Source organism: Homo sapiens, chromosome 2 (assembly GCF_000001405.40).
Source record: "Homo sapiens chromosome 2, GRCh38.p14 Primary Assembly".
Lineage (NCBI taxonomy): Eukaryota > Metazoa > Chordata > Mammalia > Primates > Hominidae > Homo > Homo sapiens.
The window spans coordinates 133045410-133072910 of NC_000002.12; the positions used below are offsets into that span (position 1 = coordinate 133045410).

General features: G+C 38.2%; 1 protein-coding gene across 19 annotated transcripts in view, besides 1 other annotated feature; it reads right to left on the reverse strand.

Moving 5' to 3' along the window:
• NCKAP5 (NCK associated protein 5) overlaps nucleotides 1–27501 on the reverse strand; it is a 1003049-nt gene that overhangs the window by 373622 nt on the left and 601926 nt on the right. The gene's annotated exons all lie outside the window — the stretch shown is intronic.
• Nucleotides 181–1380: an enhancer, noted in NCBI's record as "BRD4-independent group 4 enhancer chr2:133803163-133804362 (GRCh37/hg19 assembly coordinates)". NCBI's record gives its function as "activates an origin of replication core promoter dependent on BRD2, P300/CBP, MED14 and CDK7 cofactors, and independent of BRD4, by STARR-seq in HCT116 cells {active_cell/tissue: HCT116}" and the evidence as "EXISTENCE:reporter gene assay evidence [ECO:0000049][PMID:35650434]".

The window sequence follows — 27501 nt, forward strand, 5'->3', positions numbered from 1 at the left end:
ACTGAATTTAAGATTAGATTAACTCTGAGACTGAAAGGAGGAAAATCAGATCAAAGAGAAACATGAAGGTGGCCATATTTCTATTTGTAATATTCCATTTCTTAATCTAGATGTTGCGAAGACAAGGGTTCTTTCCATTAGTCTTCTTTTATTTATAGGGGATGCATTCCAAGGTGCCCAGGGGATGCCTGAAATAGTGAATAGTATGAGACCCTCTGTATGCTAAGTTTTTTCTACATACACTTATTTTTGTGATAAAGTTTAACTTACAAATAAGGCACAGTAAGAGATTAACAATAATTAATAATAAACTAGAACCATTATAACATTCTGTAATAAAAGTTATGTGACTGTAGTCTCTCTCTCAAAATATCTTATTGCACTGGACTCACCCTTCTTCTTGTGATGATGTGAGATGACAAAATGCATTTGCGATGAGATGAAGAGAGGTGAATGACACAGCCGTTGTGATGTAGTGTTAGGCCACTATCAACCTTGAACACAAGCACTGAAATACTGGATGCCATGACAGTTGATTTGATAAGCACGTGGCTATGCAATGACTAACAGGTGGGTAGCGTCTACAGTGTAGATATGCTGGACAAAGGGATGATTCACATCTCAGGCTGGACGGAGCAGGTTGGTGAGAAATCTCATCAAGCTCCTCAGAAGAGTGCCATTTAAAACTGATGAGTTGTTTACTTCTAAATTTTTCCATTTAATATTTTTGGACCATGGTTGTCTGTGGGTAGTTGGAATCTTGGAAAGTGAAACTACAGATAAGGAGGCATGGCTGTATATTTAGTCTTCATACAACATGCACAGAAATATTTAATTTTTCAAAATTTCTGCATTCCAAAAACTCAAATATATTTTAGTTTTGCTTAACTGAAAATTCTAAAATAGTTTTAAATTCTTGAAACAAATAGCTCAAAAGGAGAGTCCCTCCAATTCAGATTTTTATTGTTATTTATTATTTATTTATTTTGAGACAGAGTCTCCCTCTGTCCCCAGGCTGGAGTGGAGTGGTGTGATCATGGCTCACTACACCCTCGACCTCTCCAGCTCAAGTGATCCTCCGACCTTAGCCTTCCAAGTAGCTGGGACTACAGGCAAGTGCCACCATGCCTGGTTAATTTTTTAATTTTTTATAGAGACAGTACCTCTCTATGTTGCCCAGGTTGGTCTCAAAATCCTGGGCTCATGCAATTCTCTCACCTCGGCATCCCAAAGTGCTGGGATTACATGCATGAGCCACTGCACTTGGCCCAGATGAAGTTTCATATTTCACTAAAGAGAAACTACCTAGCTTCTAAGAAATCATTGAAAAACCATATAAGGCAATAGGCAAAGCATTGCCAATTACGTAGATGATTTTAGAAAAAGAAAAAAGGAATGTCTAGAAAGGAAAAGATTAGCATAAGGGTTCTTCAGAAGGGAAGAAACATAAGGGGTCGAGAGAACAGGTTGCAATTTTCGTTGGAGTTAGTGTATCCAGACATCCTTGAACCTGCCTTTCCTGTCGTTGGTTCTATCTCCACAATCCAAGTAAATTGGCAGGTTGGCTTATCAAAACAATGCATACAAAAAATATTTCAGAGTGATTTGCCCTTGTTTCCTTCTTTGATCACAGAAACCCACTTAAAGAGCACTATTCCACACATACCTTAGTAAATTCAATGACATTTTTTTCTGGCTGCTTCAGCTGCCATGATGATTGCAAACTGTACACTGCCCTCACCACGCAGACTACTTTTCATGCCTGCTATGTGAACACAAAGCTTTGTTTTTTTTCCAGTCCCAAGTCCCTTATTCAGGACCAAATTACAAACAATGCTGTGTTAGACACTTTTCAGAAACCTCTGGATAAACGAGTCTCAGCAGCCCCCTGGGCTCGACCCCACAGAATGTAATGCCTGCTCATGCCCAAACCACTGCTTCCTTGTGAGCTTTGAATAGTCATTAACGTTGCCAAGACTGGCAATCATCCTTAAAAGTCTTCCTATGAAGGGAATCTAATTTGTATATGTCTGAAAAAGACAATGAAAGAAAACATGCTGGACTATGAACTCTCAAGGTATTTGTTCCTCTGGCTAACTGAAATGAGAAACTTTTGAAAATATATGCTATCATTTTTTGAAAATAATGATTGTGACTTTAAACCTGAAAAGCCTCATCTGTCCCACCTCCTCCTAATTGCCTGGATGATAATGATGTAAATGCAGTTATAATTACAAAGAACTTCAATTCAATTTAATTTTAATTGTTTAAAATTTGTAAACACTCCAGAAAAACCTCATTAAGCTGGCTGAACTAGCTTGTTTTCAAGAGGGAACAGGGAGTCAACATTCACAGTTATTCATATTACAACATCCATTCACTTACACTAACCATTCTGATTAACCAGTAATCACACACATTTGGAGCAAGCAGCACTGGCAAAGCTTGTTACAGCTTTTAAAAAATGCTTTGCAAGGTTGCATATATAAAATGAAGCCCCACATTCAAAAGCAGAACTTTGGCATGCATGCACATTGAAGAAGGGAGAGGAAAATCCTCACAAAATGCATGCATCAAAAAGTTTATACTTCTAAAACTGAGGTCTTAGAATCCCGAAAGATTCAGGTTCATGTCTCCTTTTAGTATGAGATGATGTGGTCTGCATACCTTCCACAGTGTCTCACTGTGGTGTGAGTTTCACAGTCAAAGGAGGACGGCCTAAGTCCTTTGCACAAAGTACATCTTTATAACCAATTGCCCTGTAAGCGTAGCAGTGAAAAGAGCACTGGATTGGACTGGGGGAACCTGGCACATAAAATTCACTACTTGTGGGAACTGGGGTACATGTTCTAGCCTCTCTAAATTGGTTTTCTTAGTAAGATAAGCCAAACCTGAAGAGCTACTGCACAGAGTTTTGGGGACAATTAAATGTGCCTGGCATATAGAAGGTATGCAGTATATGTAGTTCATAGTATCCAAAAGGCTGAAACAAAAAGGGTTCACCTTTGGTTACCTTCTGCATAATTACTAACATTCTAGTGATTGATGATTGAATATATTTTAGCTGAAATCTTAAGTTTTCAGAACTCATCACCAATGGTTTATAATGGATACTTGTTTGTATCATGTGAAGGCCATATGTGGATAATTTTTAGAATTAACAAAATGTTGTCTTATGTCACAATTCTCTGAACTGTATGAGGGTTTATTGGACAAATTAAAATTCAATCTAGTAATATACCACTCATATTGTCACATTTTACCAGACATGTTTTCCTCTGTTATTGAAATTTTAGCACTTCCTGCAGATATTTGGAATAGAAATAGAATAACGACAATTGTTATTACTACTCATTTTTACAAAGGGCTTTTCAATTTCTAAGATGATTTTAATATACATTGTTTTGGCTTGTCCCTATAGCTTGCAGATTTGGTCCCAACACTCACAGTGACTAACAATGTTCAGAGCAGTGTAATCATTGGATAAAAGCAGCAGAGGCCTAAGGGCAGGGGTCAGACTTTGAACCCTTGCTTTCTGGTCTCAAATCTCATGCTCTTTTCTGGATGTTGAATTCTCCCATAAACACACTACGATCAACCAGAACTCCACTTCCATTCATTTATAAGAGTTAAAAAAGTGAAGCCTCCATTATCATCTGAAGTGTAAAGAGACATCAGATTTCAAAATGATGGCAACAGGGAAGAGCCCTTGCCAAACTAACTATTATTTTAACAACTAAATGACTGTGTAATCACTGTACTTGCTGCAAAAACACTGAATTGAGGTTTCCATTTGGGTGTTTGTATGTTCTCAAGTCCAGCAAACAGAGCTCTGAAGAATGTGAGCACAGGCTGCCTGGGCACGGTGGCTCACACCTGTAATCCCAACACTTTGGGAAGCCTAGGCGGGTGGATCCCGAGGTCAGGAGATTGAGAGCATCCTGGCTAACACAGTGAAACCCCGTCTCTACTAAAATACAAAAAAATTAGCCAGGCGTGGTGGCAGGCGCCTGTAGTCACAGCTACTTAGGAGGCTGAGGCAGGAGAATGGTGTGAACCTGGAAGGCAGAGCTTGCGGTGAGCCGAGATCACACCAATGCACTCAAGCCTGGGCGACAGAGTGAGACTCTGTCTCAAAAAAAAAAAAAAAAAAAAAAAGAATGGGCACACAGGCAAGTTTTTCACAGTACACCTAAGCAGTCAGTGATCATGGGGTATAAGTGGTAGAAAATACTAACTGGTTTATTTCATTTCCCTTAGGAACAAATTCATACAGTGTAACCCAGCCAAGAGATTCCCAGAGATTCTCATCCTGCTCATCTCCGTCACCAAGACGTGTGCTTGTGACTCCAGTGCTCCAGCATGCGATTGTCACTCAACCTAAATCCCAGGTCATCTTTCAAAATCTGAGCCAAGGAAGCCTTACCATGAACACTGAACATCAACCATGCCTAATTCCCTGGCCTAGTGCTAGAGCCAAAAGGTGTATGAACCTGGTTCCAAGAAGTTCCAAAGGAATGGGGACAAAGGAGACATTCATAAATACATAACTGTCAGTTTGGCCCACTGTGCTAAGGCACAATAAGAAAAGTGAGATAATACATCCTTTTGAGTGGAAGGGAGGTGGTCATCACCTACCATGCTGGCCTTTCCCTTTTCTAACCACCCATTGTTCTTCCTGGTAATACAATTTAGCACCTGCTGGGTTTCTTACAACTCCTCCCATGTTCTTTCTATATCTGTAGTCAAAGTGTAAGCCACTTGAGGATACAGATGTGTGTCATTCTTCTCCAGGATTCCCCAAAACACTTGGCATAGTCTTAGTTACAAAACCAGGGCTCCATAGAGACATATTAACTGACTGTGTATAGAAGATTCAGTGGGTGGGAAGGGGAAAAGACTAAAAACAAAAAAAAAATGGGGGAGAAAACAACCCTGTTGGAAAAGGAATGACTAGGAATGGTATCTTGGTGAGGGAAAAAGAGATGGTTTTATGTTAGGGGAGTTTATTTAGGTAGGAAAAAAAATGAGTAAACTTTGCACGATTTGAAATCTGCATTCCACTGGCTAATATAAAGTAATCTTTCCTGTTTGTAAAATGAAAACCATGAAAAGATGATAACACACTTTGTACTAAATCTACTTGGGGAAGGAACAACAACATTTTCTCCCTTTGCTCAGTTCAGCCTGGAATATAATAGATGAAATTGTAATTCAGAGCACATTATCAATGCTGCTATTTATTTTCTGAAACATTAGTCTAGGTATATTTTTCTACATTTTTATATCAAAATATGCCCCTTAAGATTCAGACATACATTCTCAAGGGAGCTGGTCTACACCAGTTTTGTAAAATGTTGACTAACTATTTGAGTGATGAACTGAATAAAAGGTCACTTACTTTCTTCATTTATCACCCAACAGCCTTTGATGGTTGAAAATATTTGTTAACCTTTCTTTGTCTCGATTTTATCACCAAAAAGAAAGAGGGATAAAAGTGCTTGCTTTGAAGTATATGCGCGACTGAACGCATGTGTGAAATTCTTTGAGATTCTCAGATGGAAGTGCTGTTGGAATCATTAAAATTTAGAGAACTTTAGGAATTTGAATCCTTTAATACTCTGAAGGTAAAGTAATCAGATTAATGGATTTTTTTTCTTAATCTTGTCAAGAGTATGGGTTGTTCAAGATCAGATGTTTTTCACTTCTCTACTGAAGAAAACTGACTTGAGGCTTGGAGTAGAGAAATAAAAGCCAACTTCCTAATTATTCCCTCTGTGTGGTCCTCAGAGACTACTGCTGATCTGGGGTTAAACTTATTCTTTAACTAATTAAACTCTTTTTCTTTAATTAAGCAGCCCTAACGACCTTACTTTGTAGACAGCTGGCTTCATTACAAGCAGAGTAACTTTCTTATACTGAACACAAAGTAGGTGAGGAATAACCAAAAAGGTCTTAGAAAATTACTTTTACCAGAAATTATTTTTCATCTCATTTTGCCAGATGAAACATTTAGTTAAAGGGTTGCTATTGAGCAACATGAAAGGAACGTGGGCTGGAACAGTCCCAAGATTCACTTGGTCAAAATTAAAGCAGGTGCTGGGCTCCACAAGTCCTGGGTACCACGGAAGGCAGGCGGTTTGCTAGCATTCACAGGATGCCGAACCCAGGCCTGCAACGAGTTTTCATGCTGAGCACCTCAAAGCACCAACAGAGACAGGATATGTGGATTAAAGCCCATGAAAAAATAACCAATAATTTATTTTCCAATGCACTGTGAATATTTAAAAGAATAAAATCATCTGCTATGCCTAAGGTGATTTATGTTTTAAGATATTCAAATATATCTCCCATAAGTTACTATCAAAAATGTTTAAGCATGGGTTCTAGAAAATGGTAGGCTCTCAATACATATATGTAGAATGCTTCATAGATGAAAATGGTTAAAAGATAACTTATTGATCTGATTCAATACCCTCCATTTGTAGATGAGAGAAGTGAGGTCTAGAGAGATTAAATGAAATCTCCAAGCTGACACATGTATTTTTTTCAATAAACCTTTACTGACAGCCTACAGAGTACCAAGAATCATACTAAAACTGGGACTACAATGATGAACAAACTGCACTTTCTCTGTGCCTACTAGCTACCTCTCCTAGAATATTTGTAACAAAACATTTGTCATTGGTTGTCATTGGCAGTACAAGTTAAATTTCTTGGTTTACAAGTTAGAGCTTCAGAAAACCTTGCTTTTACTTTTCATCAATGACAAAATAAACACACCATTAATCCAAATCCACCTCTGTGCCATCTACAGTAGCCAAATTAGGAAACCACGGACTATCATCACGTAACAGAACTCATACTCTGATCTGGAGCTAGTCCGCAGCTACCAAGACATTCTGACACCAAAGCTGATAGTGGGCAATGAATGCAGGGATAAAGGGTTGGTTTTCTACCTTTCTAGAGAAGTATATTAAGGTGGAGGCAGGAGATGGGCAAAGAGTATGAAAACTGGAGAGTTTGGGCCGGGCACGGTGGCTCACGCCTGTAATTCCAGCTCTTTGGGAGGCCAAGGCAGGCAGATCACCTGAGGTCAGGAGTTTGAGACCAGCCTGGCCAAAATGGCGAAAACTCATCTCTACTAAAAGTACAAAAATTAGTTGGGTGTGGTGGTGGGCACCTGTAATCCCAGATACCCAAGAGACTCAGGCAGGAGAATCGCTTGAACCCGGGAGGCAGAGGTTGCAGTGAGATGAGATTGTGCCACTGCACTCCAGCCTGGGCGACAAAAGAGAAACTCTGTCACAAAAAAAAAAAAAAGGAAAGTTCGATGTAAAAAACAAGTATATTTAATCTCAGTATGAAAAAGGTCTCTTTTCTTCCTTGAATTGATAAACAATTGTTTATCAACAATAGAATATTTGTTCAACTAATGTAGAACATTCAACAAATAGAATAATTACATTAAAGTAGTCTCTTTTGAAGGGTAAAAGAAAATTCTAAGAAAGCAGTAATTAAACAGAATGGTAGGGAGAAAACAAAATAAAAAAATACTCCTAATGTTTTGGCATCCTCCTTGGGATGGCATGAGAGGGGGAGATAAAAAACATAGAAAAGTGGGAGGAAAAAAAGCACAGTCTGGAGGTATATTTTAGTTCCCAATTGCCTGAGCTATAACATTCAGAGTGATAAAACCAAGTACCTGCTGCCCCTCCTGCCCTTCATTTGGTTAGCTGGTAAACCATTCTTCACAGCTTTTTGTCTGCTCAGATCCTTGAAGATTCTTTATTCGAGAGCAGTCAGGTCTAACAACCATTCCTCCAATAGCTTTAGTTTTCATGATTAGAATAACACTGTCCAGAAAGAAAGATGCTGTCTCCTGGAGGAGGGATTTGACTCCTGGCTGGAAGTTTGCCATCTCTGGTCTTGTTTTATCCAAGATCCTCAAGAAAATCAAAGTCTTTGGTCTAGTGGTAAATGGTAACTAGCATTCCAGGGACGTGCTTGCTATCTACTTGCGAACTATCCTAATCACAACTCTACTTCCAGACTCTTTATTTTACAATTAAATGCTTCCTTCTGAAATATAGCTTGGCTAAAGAAATGCAATTTTAATTGTATGACTTTGTAAAGCGACCTTCAAAAATTCAAAGGTTAACTTTCTTTACTTTCTGAATCCTACTGTGCCATGCATGGCCATGCAAATCAGCACTAGTCTAATCTGTTTCCCTTACCATTGCTACTCTCTTTCGCTAATTTCCACTTTATTTTTTCAAGTCCAAGTTGCTTACAGGGTAAGATTTCAAAGCAAGCTCCGGTTCCTGGTGTCTCTGCATAACTTTGGTTTTAGTTACTAAGGAAACACTTCTTTGCTGTGCTACACTGTAAATCCTTTAATTCTCCCTTTTCCTAATTCTTAAGTAATCCATTTAAACTGCAAAAGCAAATACTATGAGAGCATTTCATAAAACACACTGCATGCAATCCAATAAACAAGAAATCATATATAATTTAACTTCAAAATTTCATATTAATTGCCATTAGAAATTCAAATTCAAGTACTGTATGCAGGGTAAATAGATGAATAGATGCAGTGTATGATGGATGAAGCCAGCCCATGTTCCATAATTCTATGGTGTTTATCAGTATCAAGGAAGATGGCAAAGGCAAGTCAGAGGCTGGTACAAAATTTAAGGCTAAAAGTATCTAAGCTTGCAAGAAAAAGCAGGCGATATCTAATTATACACTAATTCTAAAATGCTTTGTTCCAAAGTGTTTACCCAGAAACTCAATTATTCCTTCCACAAACATTGATGGAGATCACACCTTGTTTAATAAAGTATTAGCAATATGATGGTATGTTACCTCCCCACCCCAGTAGGGAGAGAACCTGTACAGAAATAACCATAGAACAAAGCCAAATATGCTAAGGACTAAAGAAAGGCACAACGTTCTATGAGAGATCTATCAGAGAGGGGTTTACTGCTGGCTGAGGTGTTAGAGAAGCTCTAATGTAGAGACAAACATTCCTGCTGGGCCCTGTTAGCACTGCAACATGCCAAGAGGGAGCCTGGGAGAAGAACATGCATTCCAAGGAACCGTGTGAGCACTTGGTTTGCCTCTGAGTGTTTTTAAAGAATGTCAAGCTGGCTAATGTCCTAGGGGAGGTAGATGGAGTGAAGTCACAACTAGGCCAAGGAATTTGAGTTCTGAAATTAATCTACTGGTGACGAAGAGAATTTAAAGAGCTTTTAGTGGGGTTAGAAATACTAAAAAGTGCAAAGAGGAAATTCAGAACTAGAAAGTAAAGTATCCTCACATGGTAGAATGACATATGCCCACTCTTATCAAATCCAGTTTGAAATTTTCTTGGCAATCAGATGTCCAGGGGGCCACCGTGGTTCATTGTTCAGGAAAATCACGAGTCATATGCTGACATTTATTAGAGTTTTGACCTATAAGCAGGTAGGCACTATTGCTCCATCAAACAAAATGAAAACCCTGATGAAAAGTGGCTACAAAACAGCCTAGCAAAAATCTCAAATTTACACATATCTGTATAAGGCCTCACAGTTGTCTATTGATATAACTCTTGAAAGTCTATTTTGAACATTCTGCATTTTCTTGACTCAACCATTATAATTCAGAAAATTAAATGGGGAGAAAGGAGTGAGTAGTGGTGGTATCACAAAGGAACAAACTAGAGAAAGGTGTTGTTCTCTAAGAGTCTTGAGTTGATACTAAAATTAGGGCGTATACTAGTATACTGATCCAAGAGTCAAGGGAGAACTGTAGTCCAATCAGCCAAAAAGGAAATCTGAGTGAATCATCCAAAAAACAAAAAAAGAATAGAAAACAGGTATCAAAAGTGATACACCGAGCCAAGAATTAGGGTTCCTGGAAGAGAAGTAGGAAGGAGCTGAGAACAGAGAGTGAGTTCTAGTTTTAAATAACAATCTGAAGCAGTTCATTTTTATCTTAAAGTATGGAATCAAATAGGTCAGCCACCTTGAAAACGCCAGAAGATGGTGTGCTGCGAGATATCAGTTTAGATAAACTGTATATATATATATATATAGTTTATATATATATGAATAGTTTATATATATATGAAAGAACTAATACCAGGAAAGAATAAATAAGCTATTTTATATAGATTTCAACAAAAATTATTAATGTCAAAATAAAGCAATATAACAATATAGACATAATGGGTATAGCCAATTTAAGCTCTGAAATGCACACACAGAGGATGAAATGAGAATGTTGGGCATCATTTGTTGCATTATTTGATCTATCTACTAGTTATTTTGTCTCCACATCTCATTATAATAGCCAGATGCAGAGCTGTAGGAAAACATGACTCCCAGCAATGGCACCTGTCCTTTTGGTGAGTAATTCAAAAATAAAACTGGTCTTTTTGGAGAGATCTCTGAATTTTCCATCTGGCCAGGCTGCTCCTGAGCTTTGCCTGCCTTGCTTAGAGGGTGTTTATTTTATCATGAGCTTTAATTATGGGAACAATAAATGCTTTCTTCTTAAAATTACTTACAAGAGTTATTAAAAGAATATTACAAGAGAGGGAGAGGCACACACTTATCCCTGTGCCAATGTTTCCATCTGTCCCTCCTCTCCCTACTTTCCTCAACATTAACTTGTAGGTCAGGCAGGAAAGTTATATGATTGAATATTCCGTCTGATGTGGATTATTTTGTCTGTACCACTTTCTCGATGACCTGCTCAACTGAAATGCTTGTTTCTTTTATGCCTATCCAGAACATCTCTGTCCCCTAGTGTCCAGGTCAACTCTGGATTCTGCCTGAAAACTTTCCCCAAAGCTGTATCCTCTTCCTAAATTCCAACATTCATCATCCCTATTTTAACAATTTACCTTTCCTTATAATCCAACATATTATTAGTTTCAAATGATCTTATTATATAGTTCCATATTTTTCTATTGCTCTCCACTGCACCCAGAATGGTATATAATAGTTATTTAATAATATTTACTAATAAATTGTAAAATTTCTTCTTTAAAACATTAAGAGTCAAGTTTTTAAAATGCTGATTTGCTTCTCTTACTGCAAAATCTTAAAGTGTCTGTCTTCACTAATTTTCATTTTCAGAGGAGACCTGTGCCAATTACACATGAAATGCTAAATAAAGCTAGATGCAGGACTGTGCTAAATACGACCAGGATAGTTAAAGGCTACATGGGCTTCTTTTATTCTTTAAACCAACAAGTATTTATTAAACACATATTATCAATGACAAGCAGGAAATCTTTTCCTTGGATTTTTAAGTTACAAGTACTATATGGGAGTGCACATTTGATACCGTCATAACTTTTTTGAAGACAGATCATTCAGGCAATTTTGTTTGAAAATTTTTGTCAATTACACTTAGATCTGTAGCTCCAAAGTTGAAGCACGCAACCATGCCCTGTTTTAGTGTACATCATTTTATTGTGCTTTGCAGATTTTTTTTTAAACAAATCAATGGTTTGTGGCAACTGCATTGATAAAGTGTAGTAGCACTATTTTTCCAACAGCATGTACTCACTTCATTGCTCTGTCACATTTTGGTCATTCGTGCAATATTTCAAACTTTTTCATTTTTAGTACATCTGCTATGGTTAACTGTGATCAGTGATCTTTGATGTGACTATTGTCATTATTTTGGAACACCACAAATCGTGCCCATATAAGACAGCTAATTTAATCAATAAACGTGTGTTCTGACTGCTCCACCAATTGGTCATTTCCCTGATTCCCCTATCTCTCTCTCCTCAGGCCTCCCAATTAATTGAGACATAATATTAAAATAAGGTCAATTAATAACCCTACAATAGCCTCTAGGTCTTCAAGTGAAATGAAGAGTCACAGGTCTCTCACTTTAAATCAAAAGCTAGAAATAATTAATCTTAGTGAGGAAGGCCTGTTGAAAGCCAAGACAGGCCGAAAGCTAGGCCTCTTGCACCAAACAGGTAGCCAAGTTGTGAATGCAAAGGAAAAACACTTGAAGGAAATTAGAAGTACTACTTCAGTGAACACATGAATGGTAAGGAAGCAGAACAGCCTTACTGCTGATATGGAGAAAGTCTGAGTGGTCTGTATAGAGGACAAAGCAGCTACAATATCCCCTTAAGCCAAAGCCTAGCCTGCAGCAAGACCTTAACTCTCTTCAATTCTATGAAGCCTGAGAGAGGTGAAGAAGTTGCAGAAGAAAAGTTTGAAGCTGGCATAGAGTAGTTCATGAGGTTTAAGGAAAGATGCCAATACCATAACACGAAAATGCAAGGTGAAGCACCAAGTGCTTTAGGTGCTTTTATATGAAAAACTACAGCAAGTTATTCAGAAGATGTAGCTCAAATAACAGATAAAGATGACTACACTAAACAATAGATTTTTGATATAAATGCTGATAGAAGATGCCAGCCAGGACTTTCATAGCTAGAGAGGTGAAGTCAAAGCCTGGCTTTAACGGCTCAAAGGACAGGCTGACTGCCTTGTTAGAGACTAACGCAATGTGACTTTAGGTTAAAGCCAGTGCTCATTTACCATTCTGAAAATCACAGGGCCTTTAAGAATTAAGCTAAATCTACTCTGCCTCTGGCTCTATAGATGGAACAACAAAGCCTGGATAATGGCACATCTGTTTCCATCAAGGCTTAGTAAATGTTTTAAACCCAGTGTTGAGACCTACTGCTTAGAAAAAAAAAAATTCCTTTCAAAATATCACTGCTCACTGACAATGTACTAGGTCACCCAAGAGCCCTGATGGAGATGTACAAGGTGATTTAAATTGTTTTCACACCTGTTAATACAACATCCATTCTGTAGCCCATGGATCAGAGTTATCTCAACTCTCAGGCCTTATTATTTAAGAAATATTTTTTATAAGGCTATAGCTGCCACAGATAGTGATTCCTCTGATCCATCTGAGAAAAGTAAATTGAAAACCTTCTGGAAAGGATTACCATTCTTCATGCCATGAAGAACATTTGTGATTCATGGAATGAGGTCAAAATATTCAACATTAACAGGAGTTTGGAAGAAGTTTATTCCAACCCTCATGAATGACTTTGAGGGGTACAAACCTTCAGTGGTATAAGTAACTACAGATGCGGTGGAAATAGCAAGAAACCTAGAAGTGAAGCCTGAAGATGTGACTGAATTGCTGCAATCTCATGATAAAACATAAACAGATAAGTTACTTCTTATGGATGAAAAAAGAAAGTAGCTTCTTGGGATGGAATATACTACTGTGAAGATACTATGTAGATTGTTGAAAAGATAACAAGAGATTAGAAATATTACATAAACTTAGTTGATAAAGCAGCAGCAGATTTTGAGAGGACTGACTCCAATTTTGAAAAATGTTCTATTGTCCTGTGGATAAAATGCTATCAAACAGCCTTGCTTGCTATAGAGAAATATTTTATAAAAGGAAGAGTCAACTGATATAGCAAACTTCATTGATGAATTTATTGAATTATACTAAATAATTTAACCTTGCTCAAGTTTCAGCAACCACCAACCTGATCAATCAGCAGCCATCAACACTGAGACAAGACTCTCCACCAGTAAAAATATTCTGATATGCAGCCAGGGGTGGTGGCTCAAGCCTGTAATCCCAGCACTTTGGGAGGCTGAGGCGGGCAGATCACGAGGTCAGGAAATCGAGACCATCCTGGCTAACACGGTGAAACCCTGTCTCTACTAAAAATACAAAAAAATTAGCTGGGAGTGGTGGTGGGCACCTGTAGTCCCAGCTACTCAGGAGGCTGAGGCAGGAGAATGGCATGAACCCAGGAAGGGGAGCTTGCAGTGAGCCGAGATCGCGCCACTGCACTCCAGCCTGGGCGACAGAGCGAGACTCCATCTCAAAAAAAATATGTATATATTCTGATATGCTAAAGGCCCAGATGATTGTTAGCATTTTTTAGCAATAAAATATTTTGAAATTAAAGTATGTATGGTGGGCCATTACAGTGGCTCATTCCTGTGATCCCAGCACTTTGGGAGGCTGAGGTGGGCAAATCACTTGAGCCCAGGAGCTTGACACCAGCCTGAGGGTGGGACCCTATCTCTACAAAAAAATTACAAAAATTAACAAGGCCTGGTGGCACATGCCTGTGGTCCCAGCTACTCAGGAGGCTTTGGTGAGAGGATCGCTTAAGCCCAGGAGGTTGAGGATGCAGTAAGCTGCAATCATGCCATTGCCACTCGAGCCTGAGTGACAGAGTGAGATGCTATTTCAAAAAAAAAAAAGAAAGAAAAGAAAAAGAAAAAAAAGGTACGTACATTTTTAAAAGACATAATGCTATTGCACATTTAATAGACTATAGTATAGTGTGAACCTAACTTTTATATGCATGGAGAAATGAAAAAATTCACATTACTTGGTTTACTATGATATACACTTTATTGAGGTAGTCTGGAACAGAACCTGCAATATCTCCAAGGTATGTCTGCATCAGAAATGACTGTTTTACTTTGACCAAATTACAATTTCTCCAGAAAAAAAAAAATGAGGGAGGAAAGAGAAAGTTCCCTCACCAACAAAATCAGCTGAATTAACCTGGTGACTAACATGATGACAGATATTGCAGCCAGAGAGCCCTAAGCTCCCAGGACAAACAATGGGATGCCAAGCTTAAGATAACCCCAAGTAAATGCATAAGAATATACATTCATTCTTTCTAAGACATCAGTGGGACTAGGAAAATCATCTCAAGAGCTGAACTTTAAAGCTATTTTAGACAGACACATTTAATAGCATATTTTTTTAAATCTTGTGTATGTCATGACAAGTTCTTTTCTTTCATAACTCTAAATATCACATACAAAAGTAGCAGGTGTGAAATGTGTTTTGGGTAAGAAAAATATCAAGCTTCTATGAAAGACCCTTTTGGGAAAAGTCCCATACTAAAAGAGTCCTAGAGAATATACCCATCATGACACATCTCTTCAAAGCTAAAAAACAGCTTACACAAAATCCCAGATATCAACAAGTATAAACACTATGAAAGAAAAAAGTATTCAATGTCAATATATTTTATAGCTGCATGTTTATGTATATATTTTCATGGACTAGATTGATCAAAATATAAGAGGCTGTCTCTCTCCCGTTTTCTAGCCGTCCCTGAAATCCACTTCACTGCCAACTCTAATCCTTGCCCCCTTTTTATTTAAATGCCATCAAGAATCTGAAGTAGTAAAATTGAATGGAGATTTCAACGGTGGGCCAATTTTCCTTTCTTATGAGCTATGAAGATAAATGTACACACACGAGTAAAGAATATAAGCTTTGCCCAAGAGGTACACTGGGCAGAATAAAGAAACGTCTTTCTTTTCTTAGAAGGGAAGTGAAGATTTATGAGGAGGCAGCATATTGGGCAGCCTTCTGAATATCTTATAATTTTTTTGTGACATGCTCTTCCCCTAGTGGGCTTCATCATTCAGGCTGCTCTCCTCCCCTCACTGATCAGAGCTTATAGGCCTTCTGATGAATCCATCCTCTACAAGCTATGGGGACGGCCTGCATTCTTGCCTACGAAGCTGCAGCTAAATAGAAAAAGCACATCCAGAATGACCACTAAAAAGAGAAAAAGCAAAAGCAGTTTCCAGATCCATGAATCCCAAAATATTAAAAAAAAAACAAAACAACAACAACAAAAAAACCTATTTATATATTAAAAATTTGCTTCATTACTAGACTGTAGAGAAATTTGATTTTACATTGGATTCAATTCAAGTTCCAATGCATTTGGACAAAGAATTTAGAGTATTACATAAACTTAGTTGATAAAGCAGTGGCAGGGTTTGAGGACTGCAATTTTGAAAGAAGTTCTACTGTAGGCAAAATGCTGTCAAACAGTATTGCTTGCTGCAGAGAAATATGCCATTGACAGGGCCCCCACGCTAGGCACCGTACTATAGGCATTTGTAAATATTATCTCATTTAATCCTCAAAACTCGCATTCTAGAAGAAGTTTTTTTCTGCATTTCACCTGGGTGATGAAATAACATGTACAATAAACCCCTATGACATGTGTTTACCTATGTAACAAACCTTATCATGTACCATCGAACCTAAAAGTTACAGAAAACAAAAAGAAAACTGAGATTCAAAGAAGGGAGTAATCCTCCACCCAAGTCACAGAACCAGATCAAGAGCACAGCTAGGACTTGAACTTAGGTTTTAAACATTAACTGAGGCAAGAACCAGATGAACACATTGTCTGACGGAACTGCCAAACCTCCTCTTTCGATTTGTTGGGGAAAATAAAAATGGAGGGGAGAAAAAGAAAGATACAATTTCAGAAGAGAGAGACAGGTCATAATCAATCATAAGCTTTCTTGGAGAACTGAGCCTTTGCCATTAGTACCTGGTGGCTATTGGGCCACTATGGCTTCCCCACCTTAGATCAACACACTTGAGCCCCTCACCACCTCCTAAACACCTTTCTCCACTCCCCAACCACTAGGTTTCATTTAAAACTGACAGTGCAACATGCCCACATTTTTTTTGGTAAGTTCAAATGAAAAAAAAATGTATCTTAAGTCATGCTTGCTATGCAGAATATTTTTCAAATCTCTTACTATGCTTTCATTTTCTGAAATTTCTCTGATGATGAGTACTAAAGATAAAATGTAAATAATTCTAGAGATGGAACAAGCCAAGTGCTATCCATAGCCCTAGATGTAATGCTCCTGTAAGGAATTATAATGGACATGGTAAAACCTTTAAAACAAATTAAATGTTCAACTTCAGCCTCCATGGTAAAGACAAAAAAGCCAAATATTTACGCTTGGAATTTTGATCTCTGGTTAAAAAGGAAATATAGAACAAACAAACAAAAACCAAAAAGTTAACGTATCACTATATGAGGCTTGGCCTTGTGTCTCCTGTTAGATAAGAGATGAAGCAACACTCTTTGGCGACATATGGTGAGTCATTTAAGTGTATTATGCAGATTTGGAGTAGAGATATTAAACAGCATTTTCAAAAGAATAATACAAGGACTATGACTGAAGAACCATTGACAAAACACAAAAGCACAGCTTGAAATGTGAAGACTCAGCATCATCTTAAAGAAATAAATACTTCTATATTCTTCAATTGAGCTACTCAATAGTTGTGAGAACAAAGAAAATCCTGGAGGTAAAAATCCATGCAATAATTCTGGCTGGTCCTCTTTGCAGAGGTACTCAGGTGTGTGATCTGGTAGATGGCCTGCTATAAGTTTAATAGCAGGGTTATAGATTTAAAAATATATTTAAAAGATAGTTCACATTTAATTTTATTTCTGGTGAGATTAATGTGTTACAAAGTTAGATTAATTAAAATGCTCTGGGAAATAATTTTCTTGGTGAATCGATCTTTATAATTCATTTACTTACAATGTTTACATAGAAATCTTTATAAAACCAAAGAAGATTCAGTAAAAAGCACCCATAAATTGATTTCATGGGAAAAAAATAACGAGATTAAATTATCAGTGTTTTTCTGCCTAAATTACAGCATAAGGATGTGAATGTATTAGGCACATTGTAATTGGCCCAATCCTGGCTGCTCTTCTCTTCCTACTTCAAAGTATAAAGAAAGCACTAGAAGAGGCAGGCAAAACCCAGCTCCCATGGAAGGCACTAGCTGTACATATTATTTCAGAGAAGCAAAGCAAGGTTGATGCAATCCACACAAAAAGAGAGATCTGAGTAACTCCAGATTAATTAATCACAGCAGGAGGAAGCTGAGTTGCCAGAAATGTTACTAAGTTGCCCCCTACAGAATGGATCAAGAGTGACTCCCTTCCTTAGGAATGAAATGGAGACATGATTCCAAACACCACACTTTGGATTTATAATCAATAATTCTATTGTCATATCATTTACAATAAGTGTGTTTATTAAGCTGGCATTGACAGGGCACTCAATTTATTATCTCTGAACTGTTTGAAGTTACATATACACTACCAGCATGTATTTATATATGGCGAATCCATCTGCAGCTTCTCTTTTTCTGGTAGGAAGAGTTCACACAGCTTACCAAGGAGGGCCTGACCAGATCATAAATCAAGGTGAAGCAATTTCTGATAACTGAATATGAGTTTCCTCTAAAGCTTTTTATGTGACGAAAAGCTGAGAAGCTCTGTGACTAGCACAAAGAAAAACTCATCACATTTTTTTTTCCCAATAACTGCTGGCCTCTTTGTTCTAGAATAATCTGTAGGCTTTTCTTGGCATTTTAACTCACATTTGCCCTTATACCCAGGGAGGCCTCTGCAGCTTAACTTTCTCTCTAGTCATTGCTCTCTTCATATCCAATATTAGCTGAGCAAAGTGAGTTACTACCAACTTTTGACTCTTCCTGGCCAAGATGTTTTCAGTTTGTTCAAAAGTAGAAAAACTTAAGATATTTAACTGATATATTTGTGGGGAAAACTTGTAACATTTGAGAGCTAGGAAAAAACCGTTAACATCTGCCATACTACAGACTAAAGGAATGGAGACTAGAAAGATCTAGTGAACCCCTTGCTCCTTCAGGAACTGTCCATGGTGCTGCAACCCTCCAAAACATCGTTTCTTAGCAGTTGTTGCCACACAAATCAGACCCAACCTCAGCGACTCACTAGTCAAGATTGCTATTTGACTTCTCTCCTCACAGAGGTGCTGAGGAAAAGGAGAAAGGAGAAAATTCTGACATGATCAAAAAATGGTCGAACTCACACCATCTTTGTCTTGGCATGGGTTGTCATCACCAGCTATAAAACTATAAATAAAATGTCATCAGGGAACAAAACTGTATATAAACAAATTTGCAATGTTCTATCAAGTTAGAGTGCAAAGCACTGCCTCTCAGAAACAACACTGATTATAACTGGAAGGTGGATCTTTAAGTATACTGATAGTTTAAGTGCAGTGTTTGTTTCATTATGGTTTGTGTAGGAGAAGAAATCTTCCTAAAAGGGTCTGCTAACAATACAAAAATCACATACGTGCCAGAAAGAATGCTGAACTGAAAACCCAGTTTTCCTCTAAGCAGATAATGCCATGTTCACATGATTATACAACTGAAAAAAAAAACAGATTAAGAAAAAGTGTTAAAGAGCTTTCTTGTACTGCAGCAAAAGCATTTCAAAGAGAAGATAAACTTACAGAGCTATTACAAATGTTGTAAAAAGCCTAAGGAAGCCTGGTAAATAAGAAAGTTTTAAATTACTGCTCATATAAAAATAAATGTTACTGTCCATCGTTGCTCTGGGTGGGGATACGCTTGGCATAAGGAATACTTAAGACAATGGAAAGAAAAAAGGCAGTGACTGTGATTCTAATCCAAACACCATATTGTTCGCAATAGACAGTTAATTTGCCATCTAATCTCTCTCTCTGAGCATAGCCCCTTAGTAACCACATTCATATAATTTGTTTTTTCATTTAAAATTCCACTGGAACTTAAAAGTTTATTAAAGTGAATGGACTACTCCATCTGAGATGTAACTGAGGATATATTAGCAGAAGCAGGCTCCTTAGCATCTGATTAAAATCTCAGTGTTCTAAGCATTGGAAGTAATACTTTTTCCAAGCAGCAACAAACTGGATAAAAATTATCAGACCCATGAACAGAGTCATTTAGCCTCATTCTCTTGTTTTAAAGTGTTGATTGCCTGTAAGTTAGTAGAATAATCTCCTCTCCTCTCTAGCCACCAGAGTAAGCAAAAAGGAAACATCTCATAAGTCCACAGCCTGACAACAGCCATAGTTCTAATGGCTCTTTGAATAAGGAATACTTCCACATTAGAAGGAAAAACGACGACAACTATGATTCTAAAAATGGAAAGCACACACACAAAAATTAAAAGCTCAAATGGTAAAAACAGCTGCGCAACAGCCATTTCTATAGTTTTCCTCTTCAATAAAAATTGTTGGCCAGGCATGGTGGCTTATGCCTATAATCAAAACACTTTGGGAGGCTGAGGCGGGCAGATCACAAGGTCAACAGATCAAGACCATCCTGGCCAACATGGTGAAACCCCGTCTCTACTAAAAATACAAAAATTATCTGGGCATGGTGGCGCGTGCCTGTAGTCCCAGCTACTTGGGAGGCTGAGGCAGGAGAATTGCCTGAACCCGGGAGGCAGAAGTTGCAGTGAGCCCAAATTGGGCCACTGCACTCCAGCCTGGCGACAGAGCGAGACTCTATCTTAAAAATTTTTTTTCTCTCTCATTAAGTTAGTTTACACCCTCAGGGATAAAGAAGTGTGATTCAGAGAAAGGGTGGCATGGTTCACACTCTACCAGCAGGCAAGAGGACCCCTATCTCAGTGCACTATATGGTCCCAATGACTATGGCCACGTCACTGAGAGATCAGCCTCCTCAAAGCGGTAGTAGAGTCTTGTCTGGCATTTTACTTGTACTCTGACAACAATGTGAGATCACATATGATATAACGAATATTTGGTAGAAAACTGTTGACACCAGTGCAATATATAGTTCATGTAGCTATTACAGTTTGATTCATTCTCCATTCATCTTAATGGGAACTGCTAATTCTATTCATCACTAATGACACAGGTTCAAGCAAAATCTAAGGAAGGAGTGTGTGAGTGTATGTGTGAATGTGCATATACTTGTGTATACATGCTCATGTATGTATGTATTTCCCTCATATGCCTCATTAAGATAATTACAACTGAAGGAAGCATAATTGATGGCTAGAAAATTTAGCAGGAATAACACAAGGGAAATCTGGAGGTTTAGTACATCAATATGGTGAAAGACAAATTAAAGGCTTAATTACCAAACTGTAGAAGCTATTTAAAAATTATGATTCATGTTAGAACTCACAATTGAGCCAGCCTTGTCATCATCTTTCTCTTTGTTTTCAATAAGTGTTCCTTGTTCTTATCATCTAAAACCCGTCTTCTTTTTTACCCTTCAAATGCTTCTTACAATTCTATAATTAAATTCAAATCCATCACAAATTCTCTGGATAAGTCAGAATCTTAAGTTGGATTTTGCCAATTCAACTTATTAAAGAATAACAGCCCAAGTAGAGAAATTATATGTGTTTCAAAATCATTCATATCTACATGCATTCTTTCTCTCCCTTCCTTCTTCTATTTTTTCCTTTCCTTCTCTCTCACAGAAGAAAAACATTGTAAACATGGGATGCTGAGTGCCATATGTTCCATTACACAGAATAAAAGCAAACTCGTTTCCCATACAATGAATAGGAAATGTACACCCCCTAGCATACCAAGTCCTACTTTATATTTATTTTGGTCTCAGAAACGTTAGAATAGCCAGTCTGCAAAAATTTTTGCAATGGTTATGTGGGAAAAGTCAGTAGGGAAAGTCAGTAGGGAAAAGGAAATGTTAAAATCAAAGCTAACTTCTACCACAAGTGACCTCTCCTTGGTATGATGTAGTCTAGTGGCATCTATATTTCCTCCAGAGCGATTATCTCAATTTAGGTGCAACAGTGGAAGTTTCTGTTTTAAACCATTTTTGGGTTAGCAGTTATAACATTCAAGTGGTTTCTTGAGACTCTGAGGGAATAGATAACCCAAATCTGAACAGGATGGAGGAAACTCAGTGCCATTTTATTTTTTATTTTTTTATTTTTGGTAGAGACGGGGTTTCACCATGTTAGCCAGGATGGTCTCGATCTCCTGACTTCATGATCCTCCCGCCTCAGCCTCTCAAAGTGCTGGGATTACAGGCATGAGCCACCGTGCCCGGCCCTGAGTGCCATTTTTATAGGTACTGTTCAATAAGGTCTTCAGGATGCAACATCATCATATTGTTATAAGTGTTATTCTGAAATGTTGTGGTGTCTCACATAAGCTCCAGTTCTATATTTTCAAAAGCTTATAAGATTTTCCAACTAAGATATTCTAATGCTACTTAAATTTATGTTTTAAAAAAGAAAATACCATTTTTCAATCTGCCTCCAAGAAAATAGGCAACTAAAATTAGGAAAGGGTAAAAGGAATCCATGATCATGAGAATGGGAATGGATACAATTGCTTAGGTTTTAGAGCTGGCCTATGCAGTAGTCACTAGAAGCACAACACACAGTGTGGCTGGCAACTCTGGCTTGGTTCAGGAGAGGCTGATGTCTGAGGAAATCCAATATGGTGGATAGGAGGTCCAAGCACCAGGGGATACTCCAAGTCAAGTGGGAAATGATCTACTCATTCAAAATAGACTGTCTTCCAGCCTCTGGGAATGTAGGGAAAAGTTTTAGCCACAGCATAGCATGATCAGGGTTAGGTAGGTTGCAAGGACCTGAGAAGGCAAGCTGCATTAGAGAACATCATTTTGGATTTTGTTCATTGAGGAGCTGTTGCAGACTGTTTCCCTGGGAAACAAACTCTGAGACAGAGATTAACATGCAGGGAATTTATTGCAAGGGATGAGGGGAATGCTCTTGAAATTAACAATAGAATTGGGTAGCAGGAGCTCTGGATCCAGAACAGCTCTGCAGAAGTGTCCTCAATTGGGATAATACAACCAGAACTTTATTCCCCTCATGAATTATCGATTAGATATAGGCTGACCCTAATAAGAGTCATGAACTTGGACAAGAGTGTCTCTTCACCTGATGGCAAAACCCAGAGAGAGGTAGCTATCTTCCACCCATATTCCCAGCAGAGAAAGGCAAGGAGTCCTGAAGGGGAGAGGTCTGATGGCACATCCACTCTAGTAGTAGATGCATCTACTACAGATGCTCATAAAATAACTTAGATAGAAGCTTAATGCTGATGGTGGGGCTTAGGGCATACCTGAACCTTTGTGGGCACACAAGTGTCCAGGGCTCACTCAGATGTACAAGATCCCAAGGCTCTAATACCAACAGGACAGAGCTGCAAATGTCCTCCCAGCTTCCCCTCAGAGCAAGTCTCAGAAATGGCCATGTGAAATTACACATCCTGTGGCCTTTGGATGATCAGCTGTTTCATATGGTCTGTATTTCTCTAGTCAAAAGAATAGTAGTAAGATGGACATGGCCTGAATATACTGGCAGAGACATGAACAAAGGAAGCAGAAGGCAATGGGCAACACACTTGTGCTCAATTTCAGGACCCAAAACTACACTGAGCAAGGGGCTCCTTCTAGACATTGTTCCACAGAGAGGCTCCCTGACCCCTGTTCAAGCTGTTAGAGGGACTCGACCTCTGGGTCTGAAACATAAAAAACCAAAGTAGGAAAAGGGAAAATCATTCACTGAGGCATCACTGAACTCCTTTCAAGTCACTGCTGTCTGGGTAAGGCTAGAAACAGTGGCCACACTGAATCTGCACCATAACTTACGGTTGGCTGACTTTTTGCTAATTTGTCTATTACCCCAAGATGTTTGGAACTAACTTCTTGCATTGTTAAATATTTCAGAATATATATAGCCAGGAAAGATTCATTCTTTAGGGTTCAACTAAGAGATTTGTAACTAGCAAAATGATGAACCATGAATCAAGCTAAAGAGCCAGTTAGGGACAAATATAAATGTGAAACAAGGCAATCTTCAAACATTAAAATTTCAAGTTTAAAACCAGGAATTTATGATTCTGGATTATAGCTTTTCTTTGCTTACTCAATTGGATAATGAATGTAAACTGTGACGTTATGGTGCAAAACTGTAACCCAAGGAGTGAGCGATCCAGTACTGACTTGAGAAACCAATATTACACTGTGAGATATTCACGGTTCAATGGAGAGATGGAAAATTAGATGCCTTAAGGTCTTTCTTCCAGCCTAAATAGAAAATAACGTACAAATGTAAAGCACTGGAAAATAAAATCCCTTCCAGCCCAAATAGAAAATAACATATACATGTAAAACACTGGAAAATAAAAATTTTCTGTTGTTGTTATTTTATTATCTTTCTAAGCCCCTTTCCTAACTCTTTTCCTTCTTTGAAGTATCTTGAACTCCTTTTGGACACTAAATCTTCTTTGTCTGTTCCCCAGCCAGAGATCCCTACTAAAAGAGATAGCATGCTAAACTGTAGGCAATTTACATGTTCCGGACTTTCCCCTCTCATTTTTCATTCCCTCAAGGACTTCCTCTCTGTTAGGCAATTGAAATTACAAAAATTAGGCATTAATAGCCATTGTTGCTTAATGGGTTACCCATCCCCAGTATAGACAGATGCTGAAGTTTTATTCCCCAGCCTTTTAGTTCCTATCATTGTATCAAATAAGACTAGATGACGGTATCTCCGTAAAGCCTTCAATTTCCTCCCTGGCCCCATTAGATGCTCTGTTTGGGTTAAATGAGAACAGCTTGCAAGGTAGTTGTTTGAACACGACTGCATTAATCAGGGTAGAAAAAAACATGTAGCTGATTTACAGAAAGCATTAGATTAACAATTTAGAGTAATGTGAGGAAAAAACCTCAGTGCCTTATAATTATAGATAATATTTATAAATTTCATTGATTTATTAAAAATATATATATATACACACACACAAAACATTCAGATTCTAGTATTTGCTATCCAATAGGTACCTTTATTTTATATTCCAAAATGAAAATTTATGGTGGAAATTTCAACTAAAGTAGGTATTTAGGCATACTTGGATAGACGAACTTTGAAAATGCCATTAATATCACTTACATATATGGTGGTAATCAAAACTAAAGCTGAACTAACTTGGCAAACTCTGGAACTGATATTCATGTATGGAGTTTGTCAATGAGTAGGAAAAATGTATCATTTCAGTGTGAGTTTATGACTTCCTTTTTGTAAAAGGTGGTATGGGAACATTGTCTCCTTACTTAATGAAAAATAGTATTAGAATACACAAGACTGTCAGGATAATTACCCAGTAAGGATAATAACTGGAAACTAAAGACAAAGAGTAAATTAAAAAATGGGATGATATGGCTAATAAGATATGCCCTGCCCAACAGCCCATCAGACTCTTCTCACCCCAACTCCTGACAAATTTTCACATAGCTTTGGTTGCCAGGAGCCTCAATACCTGCTCCCCAGAAGGTGCCTGTGTGTCAATCTCTCTGTACTCAAGGGGGCATGCAGATGTTTCCTGTATCATATCTCTAGGATATCTAAGGACCGACTCCTTAGTTCTCATTTCCTAGGGAGGTCAAGTCTCTTACCAGAATCCTTTGGGGCTGGCAATGTTCATCACCCCATCCTCAGCCCTCTAACTTCAGAGGACAGCTGACTTCTTAAAGGAATGAAGAGATCTTTTTCAAGTCACTGCTACTTGAGGCCTCAGCAACCAAGAAGTTATACACTCCTCCCACCCCCACAAATTCACATACATGCAGATAGTAGGGTAGACTATACAGGTGTGTGAGTGTGTGTGTATGTGTGTGTGTATCCTCCTATATAGAGGCAGAAGATTTCATAAAATATATACATGAGATATACATACATGATTTTATGTATAAATACATATAGTACACGCATATAACATTTTACATATATATCTCATTTTAAAACATCTTGCTTTTGTAAAAATTGTGTGAGTATCCGATCACAGGAATACCTTTCTAATCTTAATAATTTAGTGGTTTAAATGTACATGAAAGGTCATCCTAGCTCATTATAATTCTAGAAGAGTCAATCATATATCCATCAATTACTTTGGAGCAAACTAATGGAATAGTTTTAAGCATAATAAAGACAAAAGGTGACACTAAAGAAGCAAAAATAAGTCTGTTAATTTCCAGGAAGCTTCAACTATAGACCAATCACATTCACAGGGAACAACAGAAAAGTAAAGCTGAGCTGCAGAAAAAGTCTGCACTACCAGGGTAAAATAGAAACAGGAAGATTAAGACCAAGAAAACTTACAAAAGAATCACAGTCAGTGAAACCCCGTCTCTACTAAAAATACAAAAAATTAGCCGGGCGTAGTGGCGGGCGCCTGTAGTCCCAGCTACTTGGGAGGCTGAGGCAGGAGAATGGTGTGAACCCGGGAGGCGGAGCTTGCAGTGAGCCGAGATCCCGCCACTGCACTCCAGCCTGGGCGACAGAGCGAGACTCCGTCTCAAAAAACAAAAAACAAACAAACAAAAAAAAATCACAGTGGCCCTAACATGCCAAGATTGGTGGAATCTCTATAGCAGAAACTGTCAGTCTTTATATTATTCTTGCTAGTCAAATTCCACTTTCTAAAAGCCAGAGAAAATTCATGCAGCTGGGTAGTCCTACAGATTTCTGAGATTCTCTGAGTATAGAGCCATGCAGGTTCTCCTATTCTTTCCGAGCGTCTATATTCCTAAGTAGAAAATAGAATTTAAGCCTCTTTCCAACAATCTTAAAGATACACTAGTTTTGAAATTCAGCAAAAAAATCAGTACATTTCAGGGTACCATATGCTTTGAAAGGGAGAGGAAGGCAGAGAATTAACATTTCCCAAGAGCCTACTGTAATAAAGACAGAAAGGCACATTGGATAAAAGCATAGACTAGGAGCCAACCTACCTGTTTCAGATCCCACCTCTGCCATTCACAAGCTCTGCCATAGTGTATTGAGTGTATTAAATGAACTCATAATATTGAAGAGAAAAGGAAGTACTCATTATGAATTAGCTGTTGTTTTTGTTACTCTGTGCTGGGCCCATTCTTACAAGATGCATGGTCTCTCCTGCCTCAGATATGTGCCATGCTGTTTCATTTATCCAGGCTTTTTTTTTTTTCTTTTTTTGAGACTGAGTTTCACTCTTGTTGCCCAGGCTGGAGTGCAATGGCATGATCTCGGCTCACTACAACCTCTGCCTCCTCTGTTCAAGCAATTCTCCTGCCTCAGCCTTCATGAGAAGCTGGGATTACAGCTGTGCACCATCACACCCAGCTAATTATTGTATTTTTAGTAGAGATGGGGTTTCACCATGTTGGCCAGGATGGTCTTGAACTCCAGGCTCTTCTAACTCTCCTGATCCTTTCCCTCTCTGCCCTCCCTTCATTTCCTCCAACATCTCACCTTTTCCAGGGAGCACTGCTGTGCCTCTCCAGACTGGAACAGGTGCCAGCCCTCCACCATAACAATATTTCACTGTGTCCTCCCACTATGTCCCTGAGTGCAGACAATTTAAGAGCACCCACCCCACTCCCCGATCGTCTATCTTAGAGCCAGGTACTTACAAGGACTCTATATGTACCAAAGTCGTGAGTTCTTCAAGAGTCCCAACTGTTATTTTCTTAATTATTGTATAACACATGCCATTTTTAATTCCCTGGCTAACATTCAGTAAGCAACTGTGTGCCAGGACTGTTCTAGGAAATGAGATACGATACCACATAAACAATGTCTCTGCCTACATGTTGCTTATAGTTTGAAACATTCCAATCAAAAATTTTTGCTTGTGAACAAAAATTAAGTATGTTTCAAAAATTGAACCAAGTCACGTTTGAGAAACATTACACATACGGTATTTTAATAATTATTATAAAATATGACTGTAGGAATAGGAAAGGAAGCCTCAAAACACTTATTTAAAAACCCACCATGGCTCC